At 41.8% G+C, this 23,346-nt stretch overlaps 1 protein-coding gene and 1 pseudogene across 8 annotated transcripts in view, besides 1 other annotated feature; one reads left to right on the forward strand and one right to left on the reverse strand.

Annotated features, from left to right (window-relative positions):
* Nucleotides 1–17,674, forward strand: part of PGBD2 (piggyBac transposable element derived 2) — a 57,341-nt gene extending 39,667 nt beyond the window's left edge. For 3 of the 8 annotated variants that reach the window (XM_011544161.4, NM_170725.3, XM_011544159.3), the window contains exons 2-3: nucleotides 1,299–1,362; nucleotides 4,085–6,629. In XM_011544161.4, coding sequence (XP_011542463.1) covers nucleotides 1,346–1,362; nucleotides 4,085–5,846 — 1,779 coding nt within the window. In that variant the 5' untranslated portion in view covers nucleotides 1,299–1,345 and the 3' untranslated portion in view covers nucleotides 5,847–6,629. Of the gene's footprint in view, nucleotides 1–1,298; nucleotides 1,363–1,921; nucleotides 2,043–4,084; nucleotides 6,630–16,121; nucleotides 16,556–17,595 lie in introns of those variants that run through there. The other 5 variants (NM_001017434.2, XM_047417844.1, XM_047417845.1 and 2 more) reach the window with 4 other exon arrangements.
* On the reverse strand, nucleotides 175–276 carry RNU6-1205P (RNA, U6 small nuclear 1205, pseudogene; annotated as a pseudogene).
* Nucleotides 12,826–12,995: a silencer, noted in NCBI's record as "silent region_2056". NCBI's record gives its function as "represses an Ori minimal core promoter by ATAC-STARR-seq in GM12878 lymphoblastoid cells {active_cell/tissue: GM12878}" and the evidence as "EXISTENCE:reporter gene assay evidence [ECO:0000049][PMID:35858748]".
* Nucleotides 17,675–23,346: the final 5,672 nt, after the last annotated feature.

Raw genomic sequence — 23,346 nt, forward strand, 5'->3', positions numbered from 1 at the left:
AACAGTACTCTGCACTTAAGTGCTCACTTGCTAAAAGGGTTTCTAATGTCTTTACTCCAAAATATTTCAAACATACAGAAAATACAGAGAAAAATATATCAACATCCATGTCCCCACCTCCCAGATTTAACACATATTAACACATTTTGCCATATTTGATTCAGATTTTTTTTTAAATATGGAACACTTACGAATTTGCATGTCCTCTTTGTGGACAGGCTATGCTAATCTTCTCAGTATTGGTCCAATTTTAGTATATGTGCTGCCGAAGTGAGCGCTCAGATTTTTTTTTTTTTTTTTTTTGAGATGGGGTTTCACTCCTGTTGCCCAGGCTGGAGTGTAATGGTGCGATCTCGGCTCACTGCAACCTCGCCTCCTGGGTTCCAGCGATTCTCCTGCCTCAGCCTCCTGAGTAGCTGGGATTACAGGCATGTGCCACCACGCCTGGCTAATTTTGTAGTTTTAGTAGACACGGGGTTTCTCCATGTTGGTCAGGCTGGTCTCGAACTCCCGACCTCAGGTGATCTGCCCGCCTCGGCCTCCCAAAGTGCTGGGATTACAGGTGTGAGCCACCGCGCCTGGCCAGAGCACTCAGATTTTATAAAAAGAACTAACAGATCTGGTTGGCCTTCCTCTCCCCCCTCACCCCATCTCATCTTCCACTTCCTCACTCCAGTTTCCCTCCCTCCCCTGTGGGTACCCCTTCTGTGAAGAGCTAGTGTGTAGCCTTCCAGTTCTGGTTTTATACTCCTTCCCTGCACATAGTATCTGCTGAGAACACAGGGAATTTCTTGTGGGTATTTATAGTTATATAAGTGGTGTTCTGCACTTTCTCTCTGCAGCTTTGTTTCATTAAGTGTTGTTTTCAGGATCTGTCTGCTGTCTAGGTAGTTCATTTTTTTAAACTTCTAATTAATATATTCATTTCCCAGTTGGTAGTCTTTTAGGTTTTTCTGATGTTTAGCTATTATGGATCGTGCAGCGGGATGTTCTACTGGCATCTATTAGTAGAAGCCAGGGATGCCGCTAAACATCCTAGAATGCAGTGGAAAGCCCCGCCACCCCACAAGGGAAGACTCATCTAGCCCCAAATATCATCTACTTTAGAATGTATTTTGGTGTGAGTTGTGAGATGAAGGAGTTTGTTCTTTTCCCTCTGAATAACCAGTCGACCCAGACACTATTAAGGTGGTGAATCTTAAGTCAAATATATTTTTCCCTTAAATGGTAGAAAAGATCCTGTTGCCTTGCTTCTTAAGATACAATTTTTTTTTAAATTGACTTTTCTTGTCTTACAGGTTCTTAGACTCTGTGAGTAAAGACAGCTTCATCTTCCCAGTTCATCATGGCTTCAACATCCAGGTAGGAGTGCTGTTTGATCAAATGTTTTATTGAAGAATTTATTCCCCTATGCTTTTGAAAGGCCAGGTCCATGACATTTTTAGCTCTTGGCCTCAGTATAACAGTTGGTGTCCAGGAAGTATAAAGGAAGAAGGGAGAGGAGATGGGAGAAGAATGGGAAAAATGGGAAAAGGCTGACAGTTGCATGGTGTGGGTGTGGTTATGTAGCACTAATGTTTACACTCGATAGAAAACCATGACTTCACTTTCCTCATCTTTCAAGATAAAGACACCAGATGGTTACTCCTGGGGCCACCTCAGTCCCCGCAGGGTTTCTCATGCCTGGGGTTTGAACAGTCATGTGCAGAAGTTGTTTGAGAGTCTGGGGGTGAGCTGGAGCTTGGGCAGTCAAGCCTGGTAGAGACCTGGAGCTTGCAGCCTTGGCTCTGCCCCTGTGAACTGGGTGAGGACAGGTCAGGAAAGCGTGAAGATGGCTGCTGTACCCCTTACTCCAAGGTCCATGAGAAGGGCTTTTAATTTTCTTTCCCTTTAAGCCGGTCTCTTTTTCTGGCCCATGCAGAGCTTGGATGAGTGAATACCTCACCTCCCTGGAGGTCAGCATGGCAGCTGACAGTCAGTCTCCAGGAAGTGAGGTTGGAGTGAATTTCTAATGCAGCCTGAACTCCAAAGTCCATGGGCAGGTCTGTACTGATGCAGCTTCTGTGGTAAATCCTGCATCCTTCTGTTGGGATGGAGGGTCCTCACGTAGAGGTTGGGGCCTGCAAAGGGGCACAGGGAAGCTGCAGGGACCTCTGTGCCTACCCTCCATGCTGAGTCCATTCTCATAGCCAGGGTGATGTGTTTACAGCCTAGATATGATTCCTCACTACCCTGTTCCATGGTTCACCCCCACCCCTGGGGCTACGTATGGCAGCTGAACACTGGAAGTCCTGGCCAGGGCCTGTGGAGTCCTGTGGGGCCTGGTTCTCTCTGGCTCTGCTCTGCTCTCTTGTCTTCATTGCACCTGCAGCCTCGCTGATCTCCTTGCCGTTCTGCAGATGTTGAATCCCTTCAGTGTCAGGACTGTGTGCCTGTGGTTCTTTCTCTCTGCCTGGGACATCTTGTCTCCAGCTGTCTGTAGGGCTCTTTCTCTCACCTCCTTCAGGTCTCCCACTCTGTGAGCCTTCTCTCACCATTCTGTCCAAAATAGCAGCCCTAGCTCTACCCCTTTGTTGCATTCTGTCCTTATCCGGGATGGCATTCATTGCTACCTGACACCATCCTGCATAGCTACTTGTCTGTTGATTTGTTGTCTGACTCCTCCAATTAGAACTAAAGTGCTGTGCAGGGTGGGAGTGGAGTGTACCCATCGCCAGCCCCTGGGCAGCACCTGCTCACTGTCTGTGCTCAAATGCAAGTACAGAGAGTCTCCCACTTAGCGTGGTTCAACTTAAGATGGTGTAAAAGCCAGATACATTCTGTAGAAACTGTACTTTCAGTACCCATACTGTCACTCTGTTTTTCACTTTCAGTCCAGTAGTCAATAAATTATATGAGCTATTTAATACTTAATTATAAAATAGGCTTTGTGTTAGATGACTTTTTTCCCAACCATAGGCTAATGTAAATGTTCTGAGCACGATTAAGGTAGGCTAGGCTACACTACGATGTTTGGTAGGTTAGGTGTATTAAATGCATTTTTGACTTATGACATTTTTAACTCATGATGGGTTTATTGGGATGTAACCTGATTGTAAGTCGAGGAGCACCTGTATCACTCACCATCCATTTGGTTCCTATGTCCACAGGGCCAGAGAGTGTCAGGAGTTTCCATGTTTTCCAAATTGATTTGGCTTCTGAATTGCAGTTAGCATACAGTAGGATAACCGCAAGGGAGCTATCTGAAAATCCAGATCTGCTCAGTTCTTGAATTTGGGTAGTGAGAGTTCAAGTTGGGAGAGTTTGAGAATTTGGGGAATGAGGGAAACTTCTATTTGTCAATAAGAGAGGGAAGGTATAGTAAGACAAATGTAATTGCAGAGCTCCTAGGGCCATTGAGTCTGAGGGGACAGGAGTGGGTGTCACTGCAGCTGCCCAGGGCTCCCTGTTGCCAGTTTCTGTTATCTGGGGTGATGACAGCAGCATCTGGATTCATCACTAAAGGGACCCTCTGCTTTAGAGTACATCGTTTAAGAAGGAAAGGAAGTAGGTAAGACCCGTTTATTCCGTCTCCCATTGTTAAAATACTTCTGCACTTAAAAGCAGAATCTGTGGGCCGGGTGCCATGGCTCACGCCTGTAATCCCAGCACTTTGGGAGGCTGAGGCAGGTGGATCACGAGGTCAGGAGATCCATACCATCCTGACTAACACGGTGAAACCCCATCTCTACTAAAAATATAAAAAAATTAGCCGGGCATGGTGGCACGCACCTGTAGTCCCAGGTACTCGGGAGGCTGAGGCAGGAGAATCGCTTGAACCCAGGAGGCGGAGGTTGCAATGCACCACTGCACTCCAGCCTGGGTGACAGAGCATGACTCCGTCTAAAAAAAAAAATTATAACAATAAAAAGCAGAATCTGTGTTTAGCTGGAAAATTTACTTACTAAATGCGGTGCCTTGTGATGCCAGATCTGTGAAGCCATTCAAGTGGAAGTGTTTTATAGTGGGAGCACCCTCCTCTTTTCTGCTGAAGCATTGGCTTTCTGGCATGGCCTCTTCCTGATTCTGTTTCCTGTCATAACAGAGATGTCATTGCTGGGAGAGGTATCCACTCAAAGGTGAAGTCTGCAAAGCTGCTTGAGGTTCTGAATGCTATGGAGGAGGAAGAGTCCAACAACAACAGGGAAGAGATTTTCATTGCACCTCCCGACAATGCTGCGGGGGAATTCACTGATGAGGACTCAGGGGATGAAGACAGCCAGCGAGGTGCTCACCTACCTGGCAGTGTGCTGCATGCTTCAGTCCTGTGTGAGGACTCTGGCACCGGGGAGGATAATGACGACCTGGAGCTGCAGCCAGCCAAGAAGAGGCAGAAAGCAGTTGTGAAACCTCAGCGCATTTGGACCAAAAGAGATATTCGTCCAGACTTTGGCAGTTGGACTGCATCAGATCCTCATATTGAGGATCTGAAAAGCCAAGAGCTGAGTCCCGTGGGCCTTTTTGAGTTGTTTTTTGATGAAGGAACAATTAATTTCATTGTTAATGAAACCAATCGTTATGCTTGGCAGAAAAATGTCAATTTGAGTCTTACGGCTCAGGAATTGAAGTGTGTTTTGGGCATTTTGATTTTAAGTGGGTACATCTCTTATCCAAGGAGAAGGATGTTCTGGGAAACCTCTCCCGATTCACATCATCATCTTGTGGCTGATGCAATTAGAAGGGACAGATTTGAACTAATCTTCTCATACTTACATTTTGCAGATAACAACGAACTTGATGCAAGTGATAGGTTTGCCAAGGTCAGACCTCTCATCATCCGGATGAACTGCAATTTCCAGAAGCATGCACCCTTGGAAGAGTTCTACAGCTTTGGCGAGTCTATGTGTGAGTACTTTGGGCACCGGGGGTCCAAGCAGCTGCACAGGGGGAAGCCTGTGCGACTTGGCTACAAGATTTGGTGTGGGACAACCAGCAGAGGCTACTTGGTGTGGTTTGAGCCCTCACAGGGCACACTGTTTACCAAGCCAGACAGGAGCTTGGATCTAGGAGGCAGTATGGTAATAAAATTTGTGGATGCGCTTCAGGAGCGTGGTTTTCTGCCATATCACATATTTTTTGACAAGGTTTTCACAAGTGTTAAACTGATGTCCATTTTGAGGAAAAAGGGGGTGAAAGCCACAGGAACTGTTCGTGAGTACAGGACTGAGCGATGTCCCCTAAAAGACCCCAAAGAACTGAAAAAAATGAAGAGGGGTTCATTTGATTACAAAGTCGATGAGAGTGAGGAGATCATCGTGTGCCGCTGGCACGATAGCAGCGTGGTCAACATTTGCTCCAATGCTGTGGGCATAGAGCCAGTGAGGCTGACCAGTCGTCACTCTGGAGCAGCTAAAACGCGGACTCAGGTCCACCAGCCATCACTGGTGAAGCTGTATCAGGAGAAGGTGGGTGGCGTTGGTAGGATGGATCAGAATATTGCCAAGTACAAGGTGAAGATCCGAGGCATGAAGTGGTACTCAAGCTTTATTGGCTATGTCATTGATGCTGCCCTCAACAATGCATGGCAGCTGCATAGAATCTGCTGCCAAGATGCCCAGGTGGACCTCCTTGCCTTCCGGAGATACATTGCCTGTGTGTATCTGGAGAGCAATGCTGACACAACATCTCAAGGGAGGCGAAGCAGGCGGTTGGAGACTGAGAGCCGCTTCGATATGATTGGGCACTGGATTATCCATCAGGACAAGAGGACCCGGTGTGCCCTCTGCCACTCACAGACCAACACCCGGTGTGAGAAGTGCCAGAAGGGTGTCCATGCCAAATGCTTCAGGGAGTACCACATCCGGTGACATCATGAGACATGCTTCTTTGGTTTATAATGAGATGTTTACAGTTAAATACAGATGGCAGTTGAGCACTTCTGTTTTGTGTTGGAAAAAAGACCTGAATTTCTAATGACTTGATTTTCTATTTTCTCCCTACCCACAATACAGTTATCTTTTTTATTGTGTTGTGTTATGCCTACATGTGATATAAATTAATATTTATATTCATTTATATTTATATTTTTGAACTTATTTATTTAAAGTTATGGATCACTTTTTATTCAAATAAAAGTTGTGCTTTGGGGTATATTTGAATCCTAGCAAGAATAATCAAAGGAAAACTTGCAAGAACAGTAAGAAGACTTTACCATTGCATGCCATGGTTTATAATCTAAGATAGGCAATAGTGTATAAATATCATGTAAATGTGATGGATTTCTTAATCATATTTATTTCATATTAATCCAAGTTTATCAAACTTTTGAGGGATAATCTGCCTTGTATTTAGTCAGAGGGCTAGAGGTGCAGATTTCATATTTTCTTAATGAAAATATTTTCCTAATACACATATATCAATGTGAGATTCATTTTTGTAAAAAAAATTATTTTTTTAATTTTGTGGGTACATAGTAGGAGTGTATTTTTATGGGTTACATGAGATATTCTGATACAAACATGCAATGTATAAAAATCACATCAGGGTAAATGGGGTATCCATCTTGTCAAACACTTGTCCTTTGTGTTTCAAACAATCCAATTATACTGTTAGTTATTTTAAAATGTGCAATTAAATTATTTTTAACTATATTCACCCTGTTGTGCTAGCAAATACTAGGTCTTACTCATTCTTTCTATTTTTTCATACCCATTAACTATTCCCACTCTCCCCCACCCCCTAACTACCCTTTCCAAGCTCTGGTAACCTTCTTTCCACTCTGTGTGTCCATGAGTTCAATTGTTTTCATTTTTAGCTCCCACAAATAAGTGAGAACATCTGAAGTTTGTCTGTCTTTGCTTGGCTTATTTCACTTAACATAATGACCTCCAGTTCCATTCATGTTGTTGCAAATGACTGAATATCATTTTTTTGTGGCTAAATATTAATCACACTTCATTGTGTATATGTACATTTTCTTTATCCATTCTTCTGTTGATGGACACTTAGGTTGCTCCCAAATCATGACTATTGAGAATAGTGCAGAAAATAAACATGAGTTCAGATCTTTCTTCAATATACTGATTTTTTTTTCTTTTGGATGTATACTTAGGAATGGGATTCCTGAATCATATGGTAGCTCTATTTTTAGTTTTTGAGGAAGCTTCAAACTGTTCTCCATAGAGGTTGTACTAATTTACATTCCCACCAGCAGTGTTCAAGGGTTCCCTTTTCTCCACATCCTTGCCAGCATTTGTTATTGTCTGTCTTTTGGATTACAGCCATTTCTGCCCGGATGAGATATCTCAATGTAGTTTTCACTTGCATTTTTCTGTTGATCAGTGATGTTGAGCACTTTTTTTATACCTGTTTGCCATTTGTACCTTTTGTTTTTATTTTGAGATGGAGTTGCCTTGTCACCCAGGCTGGAATGCAGTGGTGCGCAATCTCGGCTCACTGCATCCTCTGTCTCCTGGGCTCAAGTGATTCTCCTGCCTCAGCCTCCCAAGTAGCTGGGATTACAGGCACCCACCACCACACCCGGCTAATTTTTCTATTTTTAGTAGAGATGGTGTTTCACCATGTTGGCCAGGCTGGTCTTGAACTCTTGAGCTCAAGTGATTTGCCCACCTCAGCCTCCCAGTATATATCTTTTTTTTTTCTTAATTATACTTTAAGTTCTGGGGTACATGTGCAGAATGTGCAGTTTTTGTTACATAGGTATACACGTGCCATGGTGGCTTGCTGCACCCATCAACCTGTCACCTACATTAGGTATTTGTCCTAATGCTATCCCTCCCCTAGCCCCCCACCCCCTGACAGGTCCTGGTATGAGGTTCCCCTCCCTATGTCCATGTGTTCTTATTGTTCAACTCCCACTTATGAGTGAGAACTTGCGATGTTTGGTTTTCTGTTCTTGTGATAGTTTGTTGAGAATGATGGTTTCCAGCTTCATCCATGTCCCTGCAAAGGACATGAACTCATCCTTTTTTTATGGCTGCATAGTATTCCATGGTGTATATGTGCCACATTTTCTTTAGTCTATTATTGATGGACATTTGGGTTGGTTCCAAGTCTTTGCTATTGTGAATAGTGCTGCAATAAACATATGTGTGCATGTGTCTTTGTAGTAGAATGATTTATAATCCTTTGGGTATATACCCAGTAATGAGATTGCTGGGTCAAATGGTATTTCTAGTTCTAGATTCTTAAGGAATCGCCACACTGTCTTCCACAATGGTGGAACTAATTTACGGTCCCACTAACAGTGTAAAAGCGTCCCTATTTCTCCACATCCTCTCCAGCATCTGTTGTTTCCTGACTTGTTAATGATCGCCATTCTAACTGGTGTGAGATGGTATCTCATTGTGGTTTTGATTTGCATTTATCTAATGACCAGTGATGATGAACATTTTTTCATATGTCTATTGGCTGCATAAATGTCTTCTTTTGAGAAGTGTCTGTTCATATTCTTTGCCTACTTTTTGATGGTTTTTTTTTTTTCTTGTAAATTTGTTTAAGTTCTTTGTAGATTCTGGATATTAGCCCTTTGTCAGATGAGTAGATTGCAAAAATTGTCTCCCGTTCTGTAGGTTGCCTGTTCAGTCTGATGATAGTTTATTTTGCTGTGCAGAAGCTCTTTAGTTTAATTAGATCCCATTTGTCAGTTTTGGCTTTTGTTGCCATTGCTTTTGGTGTTTTAGACATGAAGTCTTTGCCCATGCCTATGTCCTGAATGGTATTGCCCAGGGTTTCTTCTAGGATTTTTATGGTTCTAGGTCTTACGTTTAAGTCTTTGATCCATCTTGAGTTGATTTTTGTATAAGGTGTAAGGAAGGGGTCCAGTTTCAGTTTTCTGCATATGGCTAACCAGTTTTCCCAACACTATTAAATAGGGAATCTTTTCACCATTGCTTGTTTTTGTCAGGTTTGTCAAAGATCAGATGCTAGTAGATGTGGATGTTGTTTCTGAGGTCTCTATTCTGTTCCATTGTCTATATATCTGTTTTGGTACCAGTACCATGCTGTTTTGCTTACTGTAGCCTTGTAGTAGAGTTTGAAGTCAGGTAGCATGATGCCTCCAGCTTTGCCCTTTTTCCCCAGGATTGTCTTGGCTATGTATGCTCTTTTTTAGTTCCACATGAAATTTAAAGTAGTTTTTTACAATTCTGTGAAGAAAGTCAGTGTTAGCTCGATGTGGATCGCATTGAATCTATAAATTACTTTGGGCAGTGTGGCCATTTTCACGATATTGATTCTTCCTATCCATGAGCATGGAATGTTTTTCCATTTGTTTGTGTCCTCTCTTATTTCTTTGAGCAGTGATTTGTAGTTCTCCTTGAAGAGGTCCTTGACATCCCTTGTAAATTGTATTCCCAGGTATTTTATTCTGTTTGTAGCAATTGCGAATGGGAGTTCACTCATGATTCGGCTGTTTGTGTGTTATTGGTGTATAGGAATGCTTGTGATTTTTGCACATTGATTTTATATCCTGAGACTTTGCTGATGTTGCCTATCAGCTTAAGGAGATTTTGGACTGAGACAATGGGGTTTTCTTTTCTTTTTTCTTTTTTTTTTTTTTTGAGACAGAGTCTCACTCTGTTGCCCAGGCTGGAGTGCAGTGGCACGATCTCGGCTCACTGCAAGGTCCGCCTCCCGGGTTCACGCCATTCTCCTGCCTCAGTCTCCCGAGTAGCTGGGACCACAGGCGCCCGCCACCATGCCCAGCTAGTTTTTTGTATTTTTGGTAGAGACGGGGTTTCACCGTGTTAGCCAGGATGGTCTGGATCTCCTGACCTCGTGATCCACCAGCCTCGGCCTCCCAAAGTGCTGGGATTACAGACGTGAGCCACCGTGCCCAGCTGAGAAAATGGGGTTTTCTAAATATACAATCATGTCATCTGCAAACAGAGACCATTTGACTTCCTCTCTTCCTATTTGAATACCCTTTATTTCTTTCTCTTGCCTCATTGCCCTGGCCAGAACTTCCAATACTGTGTTGAATAGGAGTGGCAAGAGAGGGCATCCTTGTCTTGTGCCAGTTTTCAAAGGGAATGCTTCCAGTTTTTGCCCATTCAGTATGATATTGGCTATGAGTTTGTCATAAACAGCTCTTATTATTTTGAGATACATTCCATCAATACCTAGTTTATTGAGAGTTTTTAGCATGAAGGGCTGTTGAATTTTGTTGAAGGCCTTTTCTGCATCTATAGAGATAATCATGTGGTTTTTGTCTTTGGTTCTGTTTATGTGGTGGATTACGTTTATTGATTTGCGTGTGTTGAACCAGTCTTGCATCCCAGGGATGAAGCTGACTTGATCGTGGTGGATAAACTTTCTGATGTGCTGCTGGACTCGGTTTGCCAGTATTTTGTTGAGGATTTTTGCGTTGATGTTCATCAGGAATACTGGCCTGAAATTTTCTTTCTTTCTTGTGTCTCTGCCAGGTTTTGGTATCAGGATGATGCTGGCCTCATAAAATGAGTTAGGGAGGATTCCCTCTTTTTCTATTGTTTGGAATAGTTTCAGAAGGAATGGTACCAGCTCCTGTTTGTACCTCTGGTAGAATTCGGCTGTGAATCCATCTGGTCCTGGACTTTTTTTGGTTGGTAGGCTATTAATTACAGTCTCAATTTCAGAACTTGATATTGGTTTATTCAGGGATTCGACTTCCTCCTGGTTTAGACTTGGGAGGGTGTATGTGTCCAGTAATTTATTTGTTTCTTCTAGATTTTCTAGTTTATTTGCATAGATGCGTTTATAGTATTCTCTGATGATAGTTTGTATTTCTGGGGGATCAGTGGTGATATCCCCTATATGCTTTCTTATTGCGTCTATTTGGTTCTTCTCTCTTTTCTTCTTTATTAGTCTGGCTATTGGTCTATTTTGTGGATCTTTTCAAAAAACCAGCTCCTGGATTCATTGATTTTTTTTTGAAGGGTTTTTCATGTCTCTATCACCTTGAGTTCTGCTCTGATCTTGCCACCAGCCCAGCTCGCATCATCGTTTACATGGAAATGTTGGGACTGAGGTGACCTCATGCCTCTCAGTTCCCAGCGAGCTTTCTCTCCCACTGGCTCTTAGCCAGCCTGTTAAACAGAAAATAATCAGACAAATAAAAAACACTCTAGTGTTCTAGCAAGTTACACATTATTGCTTGCTTACCAATTGTCTATCTTAGAACTTTCTTTTCCTCATACAGTCAATATAATCGTATGTGTTAAATTTGGCTTTTGCCATTTTACAGTCCAAGATGCAGGACTTTGCATAGGGCACGGATGGATTTCCACAGTCAGCATAAGGATGGGAGGAGAACAGGGCAGATCCAGCCCCACTCAGTGAGAATTCTGGCTGGAGTTACTTGGCTGGACCTCACTCCAGAGAGAGGAGAACTTTCTCTGGACCAGCTACCAAGACAGCTCCTAGTTGGAAAATGTTTTCTTCTAAGGTGAGATGCAGCCCCCACTGGACAGGAAAACACCAGAGAGTTTTAAAAAGGAAAAAACCAAGGTAAGCCGTGGAGCTTCTTGACAGGGGACACAGAAGAGTCCACCCAGCTGGGGTGAATCTCAGTTCCCCAATGGGACGGCGTGTGGGAGCCACAAGTCACTGGCCCCTATAGCGTGGGAGCAGTGTGAGCCATCTGCAGTGGCATTGTCTCCTCCAGCAGCAGCGTCCATCCAGAAATCCATCTCCCAGGTCTTGCTGGAGGTCATTCTGTGTGAAGTTGATGGAGTTCTTTCTTATGCGCTTTTTTTCTAAGTGTGGGAGAGCATGGCCTTCATGACTGCTGGCTTCCAGCACGTGGCGTGCAAACCCAAGCCAGGGTGTGTAATTCACTGTAGCCCTTGACAGAATAACGGGATAAAAGTCATTTTTTAATCTTCTATTTATTACCCTCAGCCAATTAACTTGTATCTACAGTAGAAGATATTTTGCCAAATTTTTTTTCAAAATGGAGAAATACCTTGCTCTTAAGTCTTTTAGAGGCACAGACTTCTCAATTTCATTAAATTAAAATCACTAAAAGATAGAAAAAAGTGACATTCACATATCAAAAGAAGTTCTCTTTTGTCAGAATACTCTATTTTGGTTTGAAATGTTTGTGAATTTCCCATGCATGTGTCCAGATGCATAGGGAGTTTATTCATTCAATTAAGTTAAAACATTAGATAACATGGTAAATTCAAAAAGTAGCAAAGACACATTTTGTTTCTGTCTCTTTAACTGAGAAAACTGGTTGATGCCTCCTGTGTGTGAGCACCATGTAGCTGATGCAGATACAGAAACTGAGGTTTTCTTACTTGCTGCCACTGGCCCCGGCACTGGAGGTTGGCTCTGGGAGGGCAGGGTGTCTGTTTTTCTTACCACTCAGCAAGTGCCACACAAATATAAATGGGTGTCTCTGCCCTCTAGTGGATTCTGGCAGGCACTGGGAGCAAATGTGACTATAAAAAAAGTGAAAGATGTAAAAAATACACATTATCTCCAGAGGGGATTTAATTCTAACGGAGGGCTTTTTTTTTTCTTTTTCAAATGGGCTGATGGGTAAAAATGCAAGACTGGATATGTTGGAAAAAAGCACATTGCATTTGCCTTTTGGCATCTGTGATGACTGAGTCCTTCCTCAGCGCTGCCACAGGGAGCACATTCACACGTGTGTCACACAAATACCAAGGTTAGGTCAAAAAACCAAGTGTTACCTGGAGGAAGCCACAAAGACTATGAGACCAAGACCTCACCTAGAAGACACTTGATAGTTCAGAAGCCGAGATCCTGCGAGGTGTCTCAGAGAGCTCAGCTGTGACCCCGCACTGTATGGAAGGGCGGGCAGTGGGGCCCAGGCAGGGGAAGAGAATTGTCCACTGTTGAGCATCATCATTCTAAAACCCACATGTAATGCTATTGCTGCAAAACCGCTGACTGTTGAAGCCACAAACCACAGAAACAGACTCCCTTTATGGTCCTCACTGTGCAACCGGTGGCTTTTCAGAAGATGAAGATTCAACATATTAATCATAAATTCAAAGCATCAGAAGAAATACTAGGATATTTTCTAACCTCTGCTACCATGACTTTTTTTTTTTTTTTTTGGCGAGATTCGTGAATTATTGTAAATAAGTTCACAGAGGCCAAAGTGCTCCCCTGAAGTCATCCAGGAAGAGGCAGGCTGCTAATCCCCACATCTGAGACATCTGTGTTTTCTTAGGATAATAAGGGAAAGAGAGAGGGACAGAAATAGACAGACAGAGAATTGGAGCTAAGAGGAAACATTTTCAGATTTTGCCCCCCAAAATTCCCAGTGAACATTCCCATTGCCAGCGGGGGAGTTCCAAGGCCCTGGCTCCAGGATCCTGCTCTTTCCTTTGGTGACTCCTGTACAGATTTGGCATAGAAACAATATGGAACTTGTTACACTTCTCTGGACAAGTCATTATGCTTTTGGCTCACAGGCTCCACTTCTCTGGACACCCCTTCACCCTAAGCTTCAAGTAATTCAGCTTCACCCTTCAGAGAAGAGCTCAGCTGTCACTTCCTCTAAGGACCCTCCCCAGCCGCCTCTCCAGCAGAAGGGCCTCCACCTTGCTTTTTGCACATCTGTCCCTCGAGGTGCTGCTGTTCTCTGTGGAGCTGAAAAAAGGTGGTGATGCCCTGAAATTCAGCAAACTGCAGGGACACGTGTTGTTCTACCCCAGGTCAGAGTGTGTCGGTCATCACTTGATGCCACTCACAGACCACCAACTTCAGAATATCTAGGTGTAAAGCTCTGTACAAAAGTTGTAACATAATAATGTAAATAATTTTACATTATTATTAATAAATTATATTACACTATTACATAATGTAAAGGCTATTAAAACATATTTGTCTTCAAAGAATGGCCTTGGTTTCTGTGGGCAGTGTCTCCTTATGGAAAGGTAGTGCATTCCTGCTAAGTCATGGACAAAATGGGCCTCCAGGAGCTGCAAGCTGTAGTAGCAGCTTCTCGTCTACGTCCTTCACTGCATGATACTGTTGTTGACTTTGAAAGCTTCTTTTGGTCTAGTTTTATCAACAGAGCTAGTATTTCATGAAGATCTACTGCATACCAGGTTCCAGAAAGCTAAATGCCTTTTGTTTGTTATTACTCACTAAACACAAACCACAACTCTCTTCTCATTACTCACACAACAAAATTTAGCTGAGGAAGATGGAGTGACTTTCCCAGGGTCGCACAGCTACTAAGAGCAGAGTCGTGTTTAGATTCATGTGGGAATACTGAACACTGAAATGAACCAGCAGAAATATCCTATGTTCCAAAAGCCTACTCAAGCCATATGTTCTTATTTTAAGGAAAATCTTTATGCTAATTTTAAACTCCAAATACCTATGAATGGCAGAGATCTACAGATTTGATTCTGATATAAGAGATGATGCTCACCAGCTGGTTACTGCTACCACCCCACAACCCCGAGCATACTGGACAAATGTCTCAGCCTCGTGGTTAGTGGAGACAATGATAGTGGAGTCTGAAGTTGTCATGCAGTGACTCATGCAAGCTTAGGCAGATTTGGTGATATATGGCACAGAGATGCAAAGAAATGCTGTAGCTGACACACAAAGGCTGGCTCTGGGAGATGCAGAAGGAGTATGTCGCCCAAAATAGAGCCAGACAGACATCCTTAAGGAAGGAGCAAAGGGGCTGCATCTTAAAGAATGAAGAAGAGATTTGTCATGAGAGATGGGACAGGGAGTTCTTGAGAGGCAGAGGGAGAGCATGAGAATGTCGGGAAGGGAGGAGAGATTCTCGCACATCTGGGAAGCTGACAATCCATCAGCATGGCCAGAAGGAAAATAAGGAGGAGGAGCAGAAATAATAGATGATGCTGGATATAGAAGCAGGGCTGAAGCTGTGTCGATTGTGGTAGAGTTGTGATTCTATGCAGAAGGCAATAGGTAGCATTCTAAACAGAGATCTTTTAAAACAAGAGTCAGCAAATATTTTCTGCAAAGGGCTAAATGTTAAATATTTTAAGTTTTCCAAGCCATGTGGTCCCTCTCTCAATGACTCAGCTCTTCCATTATACCATGAAAGTAGCCAGAGACATTATATAACACATGTATGTGGCTGTGTCACATTACAACTTTACTTACAAACGCAGACTGTGTCAGACATGGCCCATGCATGGTAGTTTACCACACCCTGTTTTAGAAAGCTCAGGTTTATGATGTGTTAGAGAATGCCTACAAGAGCTCTTGTTTTAAATGGTAGAGTGAACATACACTGGAATTCTATCCTGCTTCACCCAAGGTCTTGATAGAGAAAGGTAGAAAAAATACTAGTAAATAGATAGATGATAGGCAGGTAGATAGATAGATGATAGATAAAGAAAATACATAGCTGTTCCAGAAAACAGAAAGGGATAACTTCATGAACCAAAACCAAAGTAATATACTGTAAAAAGGGAGCAGGCTGGGAAACTCACAGTTGCAAAGCAAATAGAATTTCCAACTGCCTCTTGTAGCCCCTTCCTGGAAGTAGTCACAACCCAGGGTGTTTCGACTTCTTCCTCTGTTTTTTGTTTGTTTTTTGTGGGTTTTTGTTGTTGTTTGCTTTTTTTAAAAAAATTCCCTTTCCCTGCTTTTTTGTCCCAGCAGCCTTTGTCACTTCAAACACCACAAGTTTTCTTTTTTAAAAAATTATATCAACCTTTCAATTAAAATGCAACATGTCTGAAACTTGGTATCTAGAGAGGTGAGATGGACAAAGGAGCCCTTGTTACTGCATATTTTCTTTCTCCAGACTTATCTTGCACACAGCAACAGACAATGCACAAAGCCACTTCCTTATGGACTGAAATTCTGAAATCCTTTTATGACTGGCCTTTCCATCCTTCAACTTCCCCTCTCCCATGCTGTGAATGATTGTATTGGACATTTTTGTTTTAATCTCAGTGACAAGGGAACACAGGTAGCTCTAATATAGCTGTGACCCAAATGCTTCTGTTTCTAGCATGTATTTATTTTGTAGCAAACATTTACATCCATCATTTTTCACTGTCTTTTGAAAATAAGTAGGCAATATCTCATCTGAGGTAGGATGTTTCTAGTGGTTGTGTTCTGAGGGAGAAAAACTAATCTGTTCTCTTTCCACTGCATTCCAGGAACAGTAAGAGGACCTTGTGCATGAATAATTTGTTTCCACACTACAGAGTGGGTAATAAGCAGATTGGTAAAAACAATTCTGCTTCACTTCAATAACAGCCTCCTCCAACTCATTTTTTCTCAACAAACTTATTTTTCCTGCAGAAGAATCCCAGACTTCTTAGAGAACCCAGTGACTTTTCGCACCTTAAATCTGTGAAATCCTCATGTTTTCTTCTGCCATATGCATAGTTCAAATATACAAAGATGAGGCAAAGCCAGACGCATTCCTGAAGGAACCTAAGAAATTCATCTCTTTCTGTCTCTGGAATGAAATGAATTCTCTAGACCATCAGTTCTAACCTTCAAAAACCAAACCTGTTTGTGAGATCTCCTTCAAATGCTACTGTAGATTCCAGTGTTTATTCATTAAATTTTTTAAGTATTTGTTTTATTTGGAATTCATTTATTTGTAATCTTAGTATTTGTATTAATATAAGGGAGAAATGTTTAAATCTGTCTATGCTATATGTGCCTCTGGCTTATTGCCCAATTAATTGTAGCCTCAGGCTAAACTTTGGTTTCTGTCTGTTTTTTTTCAGAACAAATATAACTGATCTCAAAACATCTGCTTTTATTGTAGGGAATCGTTCTGCCATCTCCATTCGTCTCTCTTTTCTTGCAATCCGGGTGGAAGTTCTTTAATATGAACATTTCCACCACCTTCATTCTACCGTGTCCACTATCAGCACATTCAAACGTATCCAGCCAAGGCTGTCATCTCAGGCCAGGGACTTTTTAGTAATCTATTTTGCTGTGATGAGGCTGGCACCCCTTTGACTCACTTTATCACCCCAGGGTTCTTTTCATTTTAGGAGCCCAAGAGGGCAGAAAAAGAAGTAGGTGAGCAATTAAACCCTCCGAGTCAGGAGCGTCTCCCCTTGTGTTAGGCAATGTTGTAGAACATCGTATTTAGCAAGCTCCTAGCAGATGAGCCACGTGGCTGCTGAGCACACACGCCTGCTTGCTGCTGTGAGCTCAGACACCATCATCATTAGTCTTTTCCACCTGTGGAGGGAATTATAAGGACCACTTAATAACCTGCAAATCATAGCGAGTTAAAGGTGTTTCCCCAAAACACTGATGACAGAATGAAAGGTGAGGAGTGTTAGCCACAGGTCAAAAGTGCAGGAAACTCTCTCAGTGTGGGTTGTTGAAGAAATGCACGTCTTTTTTCTTTTGGAAGTCTCCCTAGAATGGGGTCAAGGACTCTGTCCATTCTAGGATGAAAAATTGGGAAATTAGGCTTTGGAGCACCTGGTAGTGCTCAGAGTGTCCAGAGTGAAGACCAGAGTTTCGTTGTCCTTAAGACTGACCTGGGAGATGTGGCTGCAGGCCATTGAGGAAGGTGAGGCAAAAGCTTCCTGTCTGCTCCCTGTGTGCTGAGGAGGGAGCTCTGCCATGGGCTTTACTTTCACATGTTACATTCTACAGGTCTTGTTTTATAAAAGCATCCCTTCCTTGAGGCTTCGGCTGCTCATCGCTGCTCAGCATCATAGCGTGCCATAACATGGTAAGATTTGGGTTTGTTTCTGGGGAGAGATCTTGGTATAGAGAAAGGGGAAGTGCTTAGAGCCACCATCAGGACAGTTGGGATGAAAGCTGGGGATGGGCAGAGGCTGGAGGAAATATGTGCACCCCCTGTAAACACTTTTATTCATGTTTTAATTACTCACTTTTCTTACAGTGTTAAAGTAGTAAAAATAGTATTGAAAAATTGAAAAGTAGGCGTATTTAAACTTGCAACATTATTTAAGTTTAAATATATTATTTGTACCTCATCAACATTTTTTATTTTGTTGAGAAAGTCTGAGGTTAATTGGCAGCATATTTGTAATAGTAGATAGAATAATGTCTGTTTTATAAACACTGGCATCCTACATTACATGTGTGAGCCCTGAAAATCTGAGACAGCTCTCAGATTTTTTAGAAAGTTTATTTTGCCAATCTTGAGGATGTGCGCCCGTGATGCCTCCTCAGGAGGTCCTGACAACATGGGCCCAAGGTGGTCGGGGCACAGCTTGGTTTTATACACTTTAGGGAGACACGAGAGATCAATCAATATGTGTAAGATGTACATTGGTTCAGTCCAGAAAGGTGAGAAGGCCAGACAGGGGGCTTCCAGGTCATAGGTAGGTAAGAGACAAATGGTTTCATTCTTTCGCGTTGCTGATTACCCTCTCCAAATGAGGCAATCAGGTATGCATTTATCTCGGTGAGCAGATGGGTGACTTTGGATACAATGGGAGGCCGGTTTGCCCTAAGCAGTTCCCAGCTTGACTTTTCCCTTTAGCTTAGTGATTTTCATTCCCCAAGATTTATTTTCCCTTCATAAGGTTTTCCTATGAGCATTAATTATTCATTGTGTATTTTATCACACAAATAAGGCACAGATTTTTAAAAAATCATCAACTTCCTGGCTACCTATATAGACATAATTACGTAGAAGCTCAACTAAATTTGCAAACATTCCAGAGTTTGGGTTTCCAATAATTCTTTGTGATTCTTTAAAAGGTAAAGTATTTTTTTCCCATAAAACATAGCAACATTTAAAATCACCCGTAGAATGTCCTGCCATTTTTGTTTCTGTAGTTTCCTCATTTTCTGCAAAGCCTCGCTGAGGAAATTGACTTTGAATATCCTTTTACACTCTTCTGTTTTAGAAAGCATTGTGGTAAAACATTGAATCATCATGGTCATAAGTTCTGTTCACATTCTTTCTTGCTTTGAATATTTTTTCCCAGTGGCCAATATTTGATTCTGTTGTATCATGGCTAAAAGGTAGGCATGGCAACAAAATAAAGACAGGAAGTCTTTGGAATAAGTGATCCCATCACAATGAATCAATTTGCCATTGGAACATATTTTTACAAAGTCACTCTTTTGAAAATATTTAGCTATGAATTAAAACAGAGTCTGTATGGTTAATATTTTTCCTGGTCTAAGGTGAACAGCATTTTAGAGAATGAACTCAGGACACAACCACAGCACAAGAAAAACGTGATAATTAAGTTTACACATATGTGTTACTACTGCAACAGAAAACATGTAAAGAACATTTGATTTATGTATCAGTCTGCACTGTTTAATTTTTTGTGTCATAAATACTCTTATTTAAAAAAACAGGACTAGTTAACAGTGTCAATTACTAGTAATTCATGGTATAAATAATTAAACAAGGAAGTGTTCAAAAAAAACAGTGTTTTAAATAAAGTTTTATTTTACATCATCTTTTTTACTTACACAGAAATTGTCAAAAAAAAGCAGAGATTTCCCATGTAGCCGCAACCTAGTTTCCTCTCTTATTAACATCTTCTATCAGTGTGTCTCACATGGCTTATTAATATCTTACATAATTTGTCACAGTTAATGAACCAATACTGATAGACTATTATTAACTGAAGTTCATATTTCATTTGGATTCCCTTAGTTCTATCTTACTCTGACCCAGGATCCCATCCAGGATACCGCATGACATGTAGACATCACGTGGGCTCTTCCTGGCTGTGACAGTGTGTCAGGCTTTCCATCTCATGATGACCTTCATAGCACTGAGGAGGATTGGTCAGGAATGTTGTAGAATGTCCCCCATTGTCACTTCGTGTTCTCAAGGTGAACTGTCACCTTTGATGTTCACTTGGATCATTTGGCAGAGCTACTGTTTGTCAGATTTCTCCACTGTGAAGTTATTTTTCCTCCTTGTCCGTACTGCATGTGTTCTTTTGGAGCAAGTCACTATGCAGAGCCTCACTCCGTAAGGAGTTGGCTCCACCTTCTTGACGGCTGAGTGTCTACATCAATTATTTGGAATTCTTTTGCAAAGGAGATTTCTATGCAACTCCATTTGCTTATTCACCTAGGTATACAAATACAGACACCTAGATAATTACTTTAAGGTTTAGTTATTATTCAACACTACAGTATTATGTTGCACAATTCATTCCTGTGTTGGCCATCAGTAGCTGTTTTTATTGGCTCTTATTTTTCTTTGATATGTTTTAACTTTTTTAGTACTTACTTTCTGATACTTCCAGATTATCCTGGCTCCTATATTTACTGTCCCAGTTCTAGTATCAGACATTTCTTCAAAGAGCCTGATTCCTTTCAGAATGGTAGGAAAACTTACATCTGGCTGCTGAATGAGCACATTGTATCTTCTCCCTCATTGGCAATGCTAGGAAGTATATGTGTGTGTCTAACCTACCTATACACACCTAATTATAAAGTTTTCTATGTAGAACTGTGTGTGTCTATATTAAACTAAACATAAGTTTACGTTGATGTCTCCACCTCTGATCTACTATCACATGAATCATTCTAGCCTTCTCGCCTTGCTAATTTGTAACCTCCCACTTCAACAGTAAGAAACCTGGTTCCCACCATCTGCGACTTATGTAAGTCATTGTTTTATTCCAGATACAGACACTGTGGTTTTACAATTGTTCACAATTGCTTCTGTTGGAAAGAACTTTATAAAATGGAATCCAATAATGAAGTATAGTTCATGTGCCTTCAGCCTACAGATTCTATTCATTTTCAAAGTTTTTACCTAGATTTGTGTCTTAGTCCATTTTGTGCTTCTGTAACAGAATACCTGAGGCTGCGTAATTTATAAGTAAAAAAGTTTCATTTGGTTCACAATACTGGTGGCTGGAATGTCTGAGATTGGGCAGTTGCATCTGGCGGGGCCTCAGTCTTTTTCACCTCATGGTGGAAAGTGGAAGGGGAGCAAGGGGTGCACCAGCGATCACACAGCAGAAGTGAAAGCAAGAGGGAAGCCAAGGAAGCCAGACTCTTTTTAATTACCTACTCCTGCAGGAATTATCTATTCCTGTGAGAACAGAACTCACTCACCCCCATGGAGGACATTAATCTATTCATGAGGGATCCGTCCCCACGACCCAAACACCGTCCACTAGGCCCCACCGCCCCACACTGACACAGTGGGAGTCAAATTTCAACATGAGTTTTTGTGGGGACAAACCACATCCAAACCATAGTAATTTGTAGCATAAATTCTTTTTCACATGATGTATTCTGTCCTGGGATACTCCACATCCTGAGTAATTTGATTTAATTTGAATAGAGTTTGCTTTAACCATTTGGCTGTAAAATTCTGCATATTTCGACAGATGCATTGTGGCAGATATCCCACTATTAAAGTATCATATGGAATGCTCAAACCCCCACCCCATGGAGCCAATGGCTTCCCATCTGTGTAGTTTGCCTTCTCCAGTGTCTCATTAAATGAGGTCACACTGTGTGTATCCTCCTCAGACTGTCTTCTTCCACTTAGCAATGTGCATGCAAGATTCACTCATGTCTTTGTGTGTGTTGATATCTTGTTCCTTTCTATGGCTAAATAGTATTCCATTACATGAATGTAGCACAATTTGGTTATGCATTTTGGGGAGGAGAACCTTCCTCTTCTAACTTTGTTCCAGGGTTGGAGACCTTCAAATTAACTGACAATAGATACATTAGTAGGAGAGACAATACTTGGCTTCTTGTTCCCCAAGTATCATTGTGCTGTTCTCAGAGTGCTGTTGGGAATGAAGTTTTTTATGTTCCCCCCCCCAAAAAAAAAGAACTAACATGGGAACAAATGATCTCTTAGCAAGGCGAGCTCTATTTTTCTGCACAAAGGGTGCTACTCAATAGCTGTCCAGCTACAAGAGCACACCAAACAAAGGAGACAGAGTTACTTATAACCTGACGTGTCTACCCTACTGCTGTGTCCAGTTTCCATTGGCTGGAATAGGACCTCCCATTTTACACTTTACCCGATTGGCTGTTAGTTTAAAACTTTCTTAATTAGGTAAGGGGAATAGAAGAAAGAAAGAAAAGGAAGTTGCCCAGGGATAGTTAAGGAAGCATCTCCAAATAAGGAATGGCATGCACTATGGGCTGGGGCTTGTCTAGTTCTGTCCAGGCATGCTGGAGCAAGCTAGGACAAGTGATTTGGAACACACACACACACACACACACACACACACACACACACACATATAAAAATAGTGGGTAGTTGTGACTTTATAATCTTTGAGGAAGAACTTTCCTCAAAGTTTTCCACAGTGCTTTGTAAGCATTGTCTCCATAAAAGTCAACCTTACTTCCTTAAAATTGCTGGTCATAACTGATCTTAGGTACACTTCCTAAATATGATATTCCAGTAAAAACCTTGATAATCTAACCAAAATTTCCAATTATGTCCTGTTATAAGGTGAATAGATTCTTATTGGACTTTTGCTAACAACAATATCATCGTGGAAATAAGAGTATTCAGTAAGGATTTCAAAATTCTGGAAAAATCAGGCAAGAAAAAAAGATAAACGCTTCATTTCTGTTTACAAAAGTATAATCTACTAAATTGTTGTAAGTTACAGTTAGAGTAAGAGAAAGAGATTTCTTAAATCCAGAAACTAGAATATTAACCAGCAATGCTCCAAAAAGCTATACAATTATAATCAATTTTCATCAGTTCATTCAGTGCCATGTAATCAATTCCAGTCTTGTGGATCTTGAGTTAGCAGTGTCATGAACCCATCAGTTTCCCAACCGGACTTCTGGAGACCTTAACTGAGTCAAGTGTATGGTCTTAAAGTTATTTAAGCAATATCATCAGAAGCCTATAACCAGAGTGCCTGTCATAGTCTTTTCTGTGAGTCTCAGAGGGAGTCCTGTCTTGGAGACGAACATTCTGACCTGTAGTTGATTGCAGGAGCTTTCAGGAAAGCATCGGGGGAAATAATATCTAAATGACAAAAAGTATGAAATGGCTGTGATGAAAGATTTGATGAGAGTTCATTATACCACAACTGACAAGGATATTCGATTTTTTCTGTGGCAGACAACATTTATTTATTTATTTATTTAGAGACAGCGTCTTGCTCTGTCGCCCAGGCTGGAGTGCAGCGGTGCAATCTCGGCTCACTGCAAGCTCTGTCTCCTGGGTTCACGCCATTCTCCTGCCTCAGCCTCCCGAGTAGCTGGGACTACAGGTGCCCGCCATCACGCCCGGCTAATTTTTTATATTTTTAATAGAGATGGAGATTCACCGGGTTAGCCAGGATGGTCTGGATCTCCTGACCTTGTGATCCACCCGCCTCAGCCTCCTAAAGTGCTGGGATTATAGGCATGAGCCACTGTGCCTGGCACAACATTTAAAGTAATAATTGGAATTAT

Source organism: Homo sapiens, chromosome 1 (genome assembly GCF_000001405.40).
Source record: "Homo sapiens chromosome 1, GRCh38.p14 Primary Assembly".
Classification (NCBI taxonomy): Eukaryota; Metazoa; Chordata; class Mammalia; order Primates; family Hominidae; genus Homo; species Homo sapiens.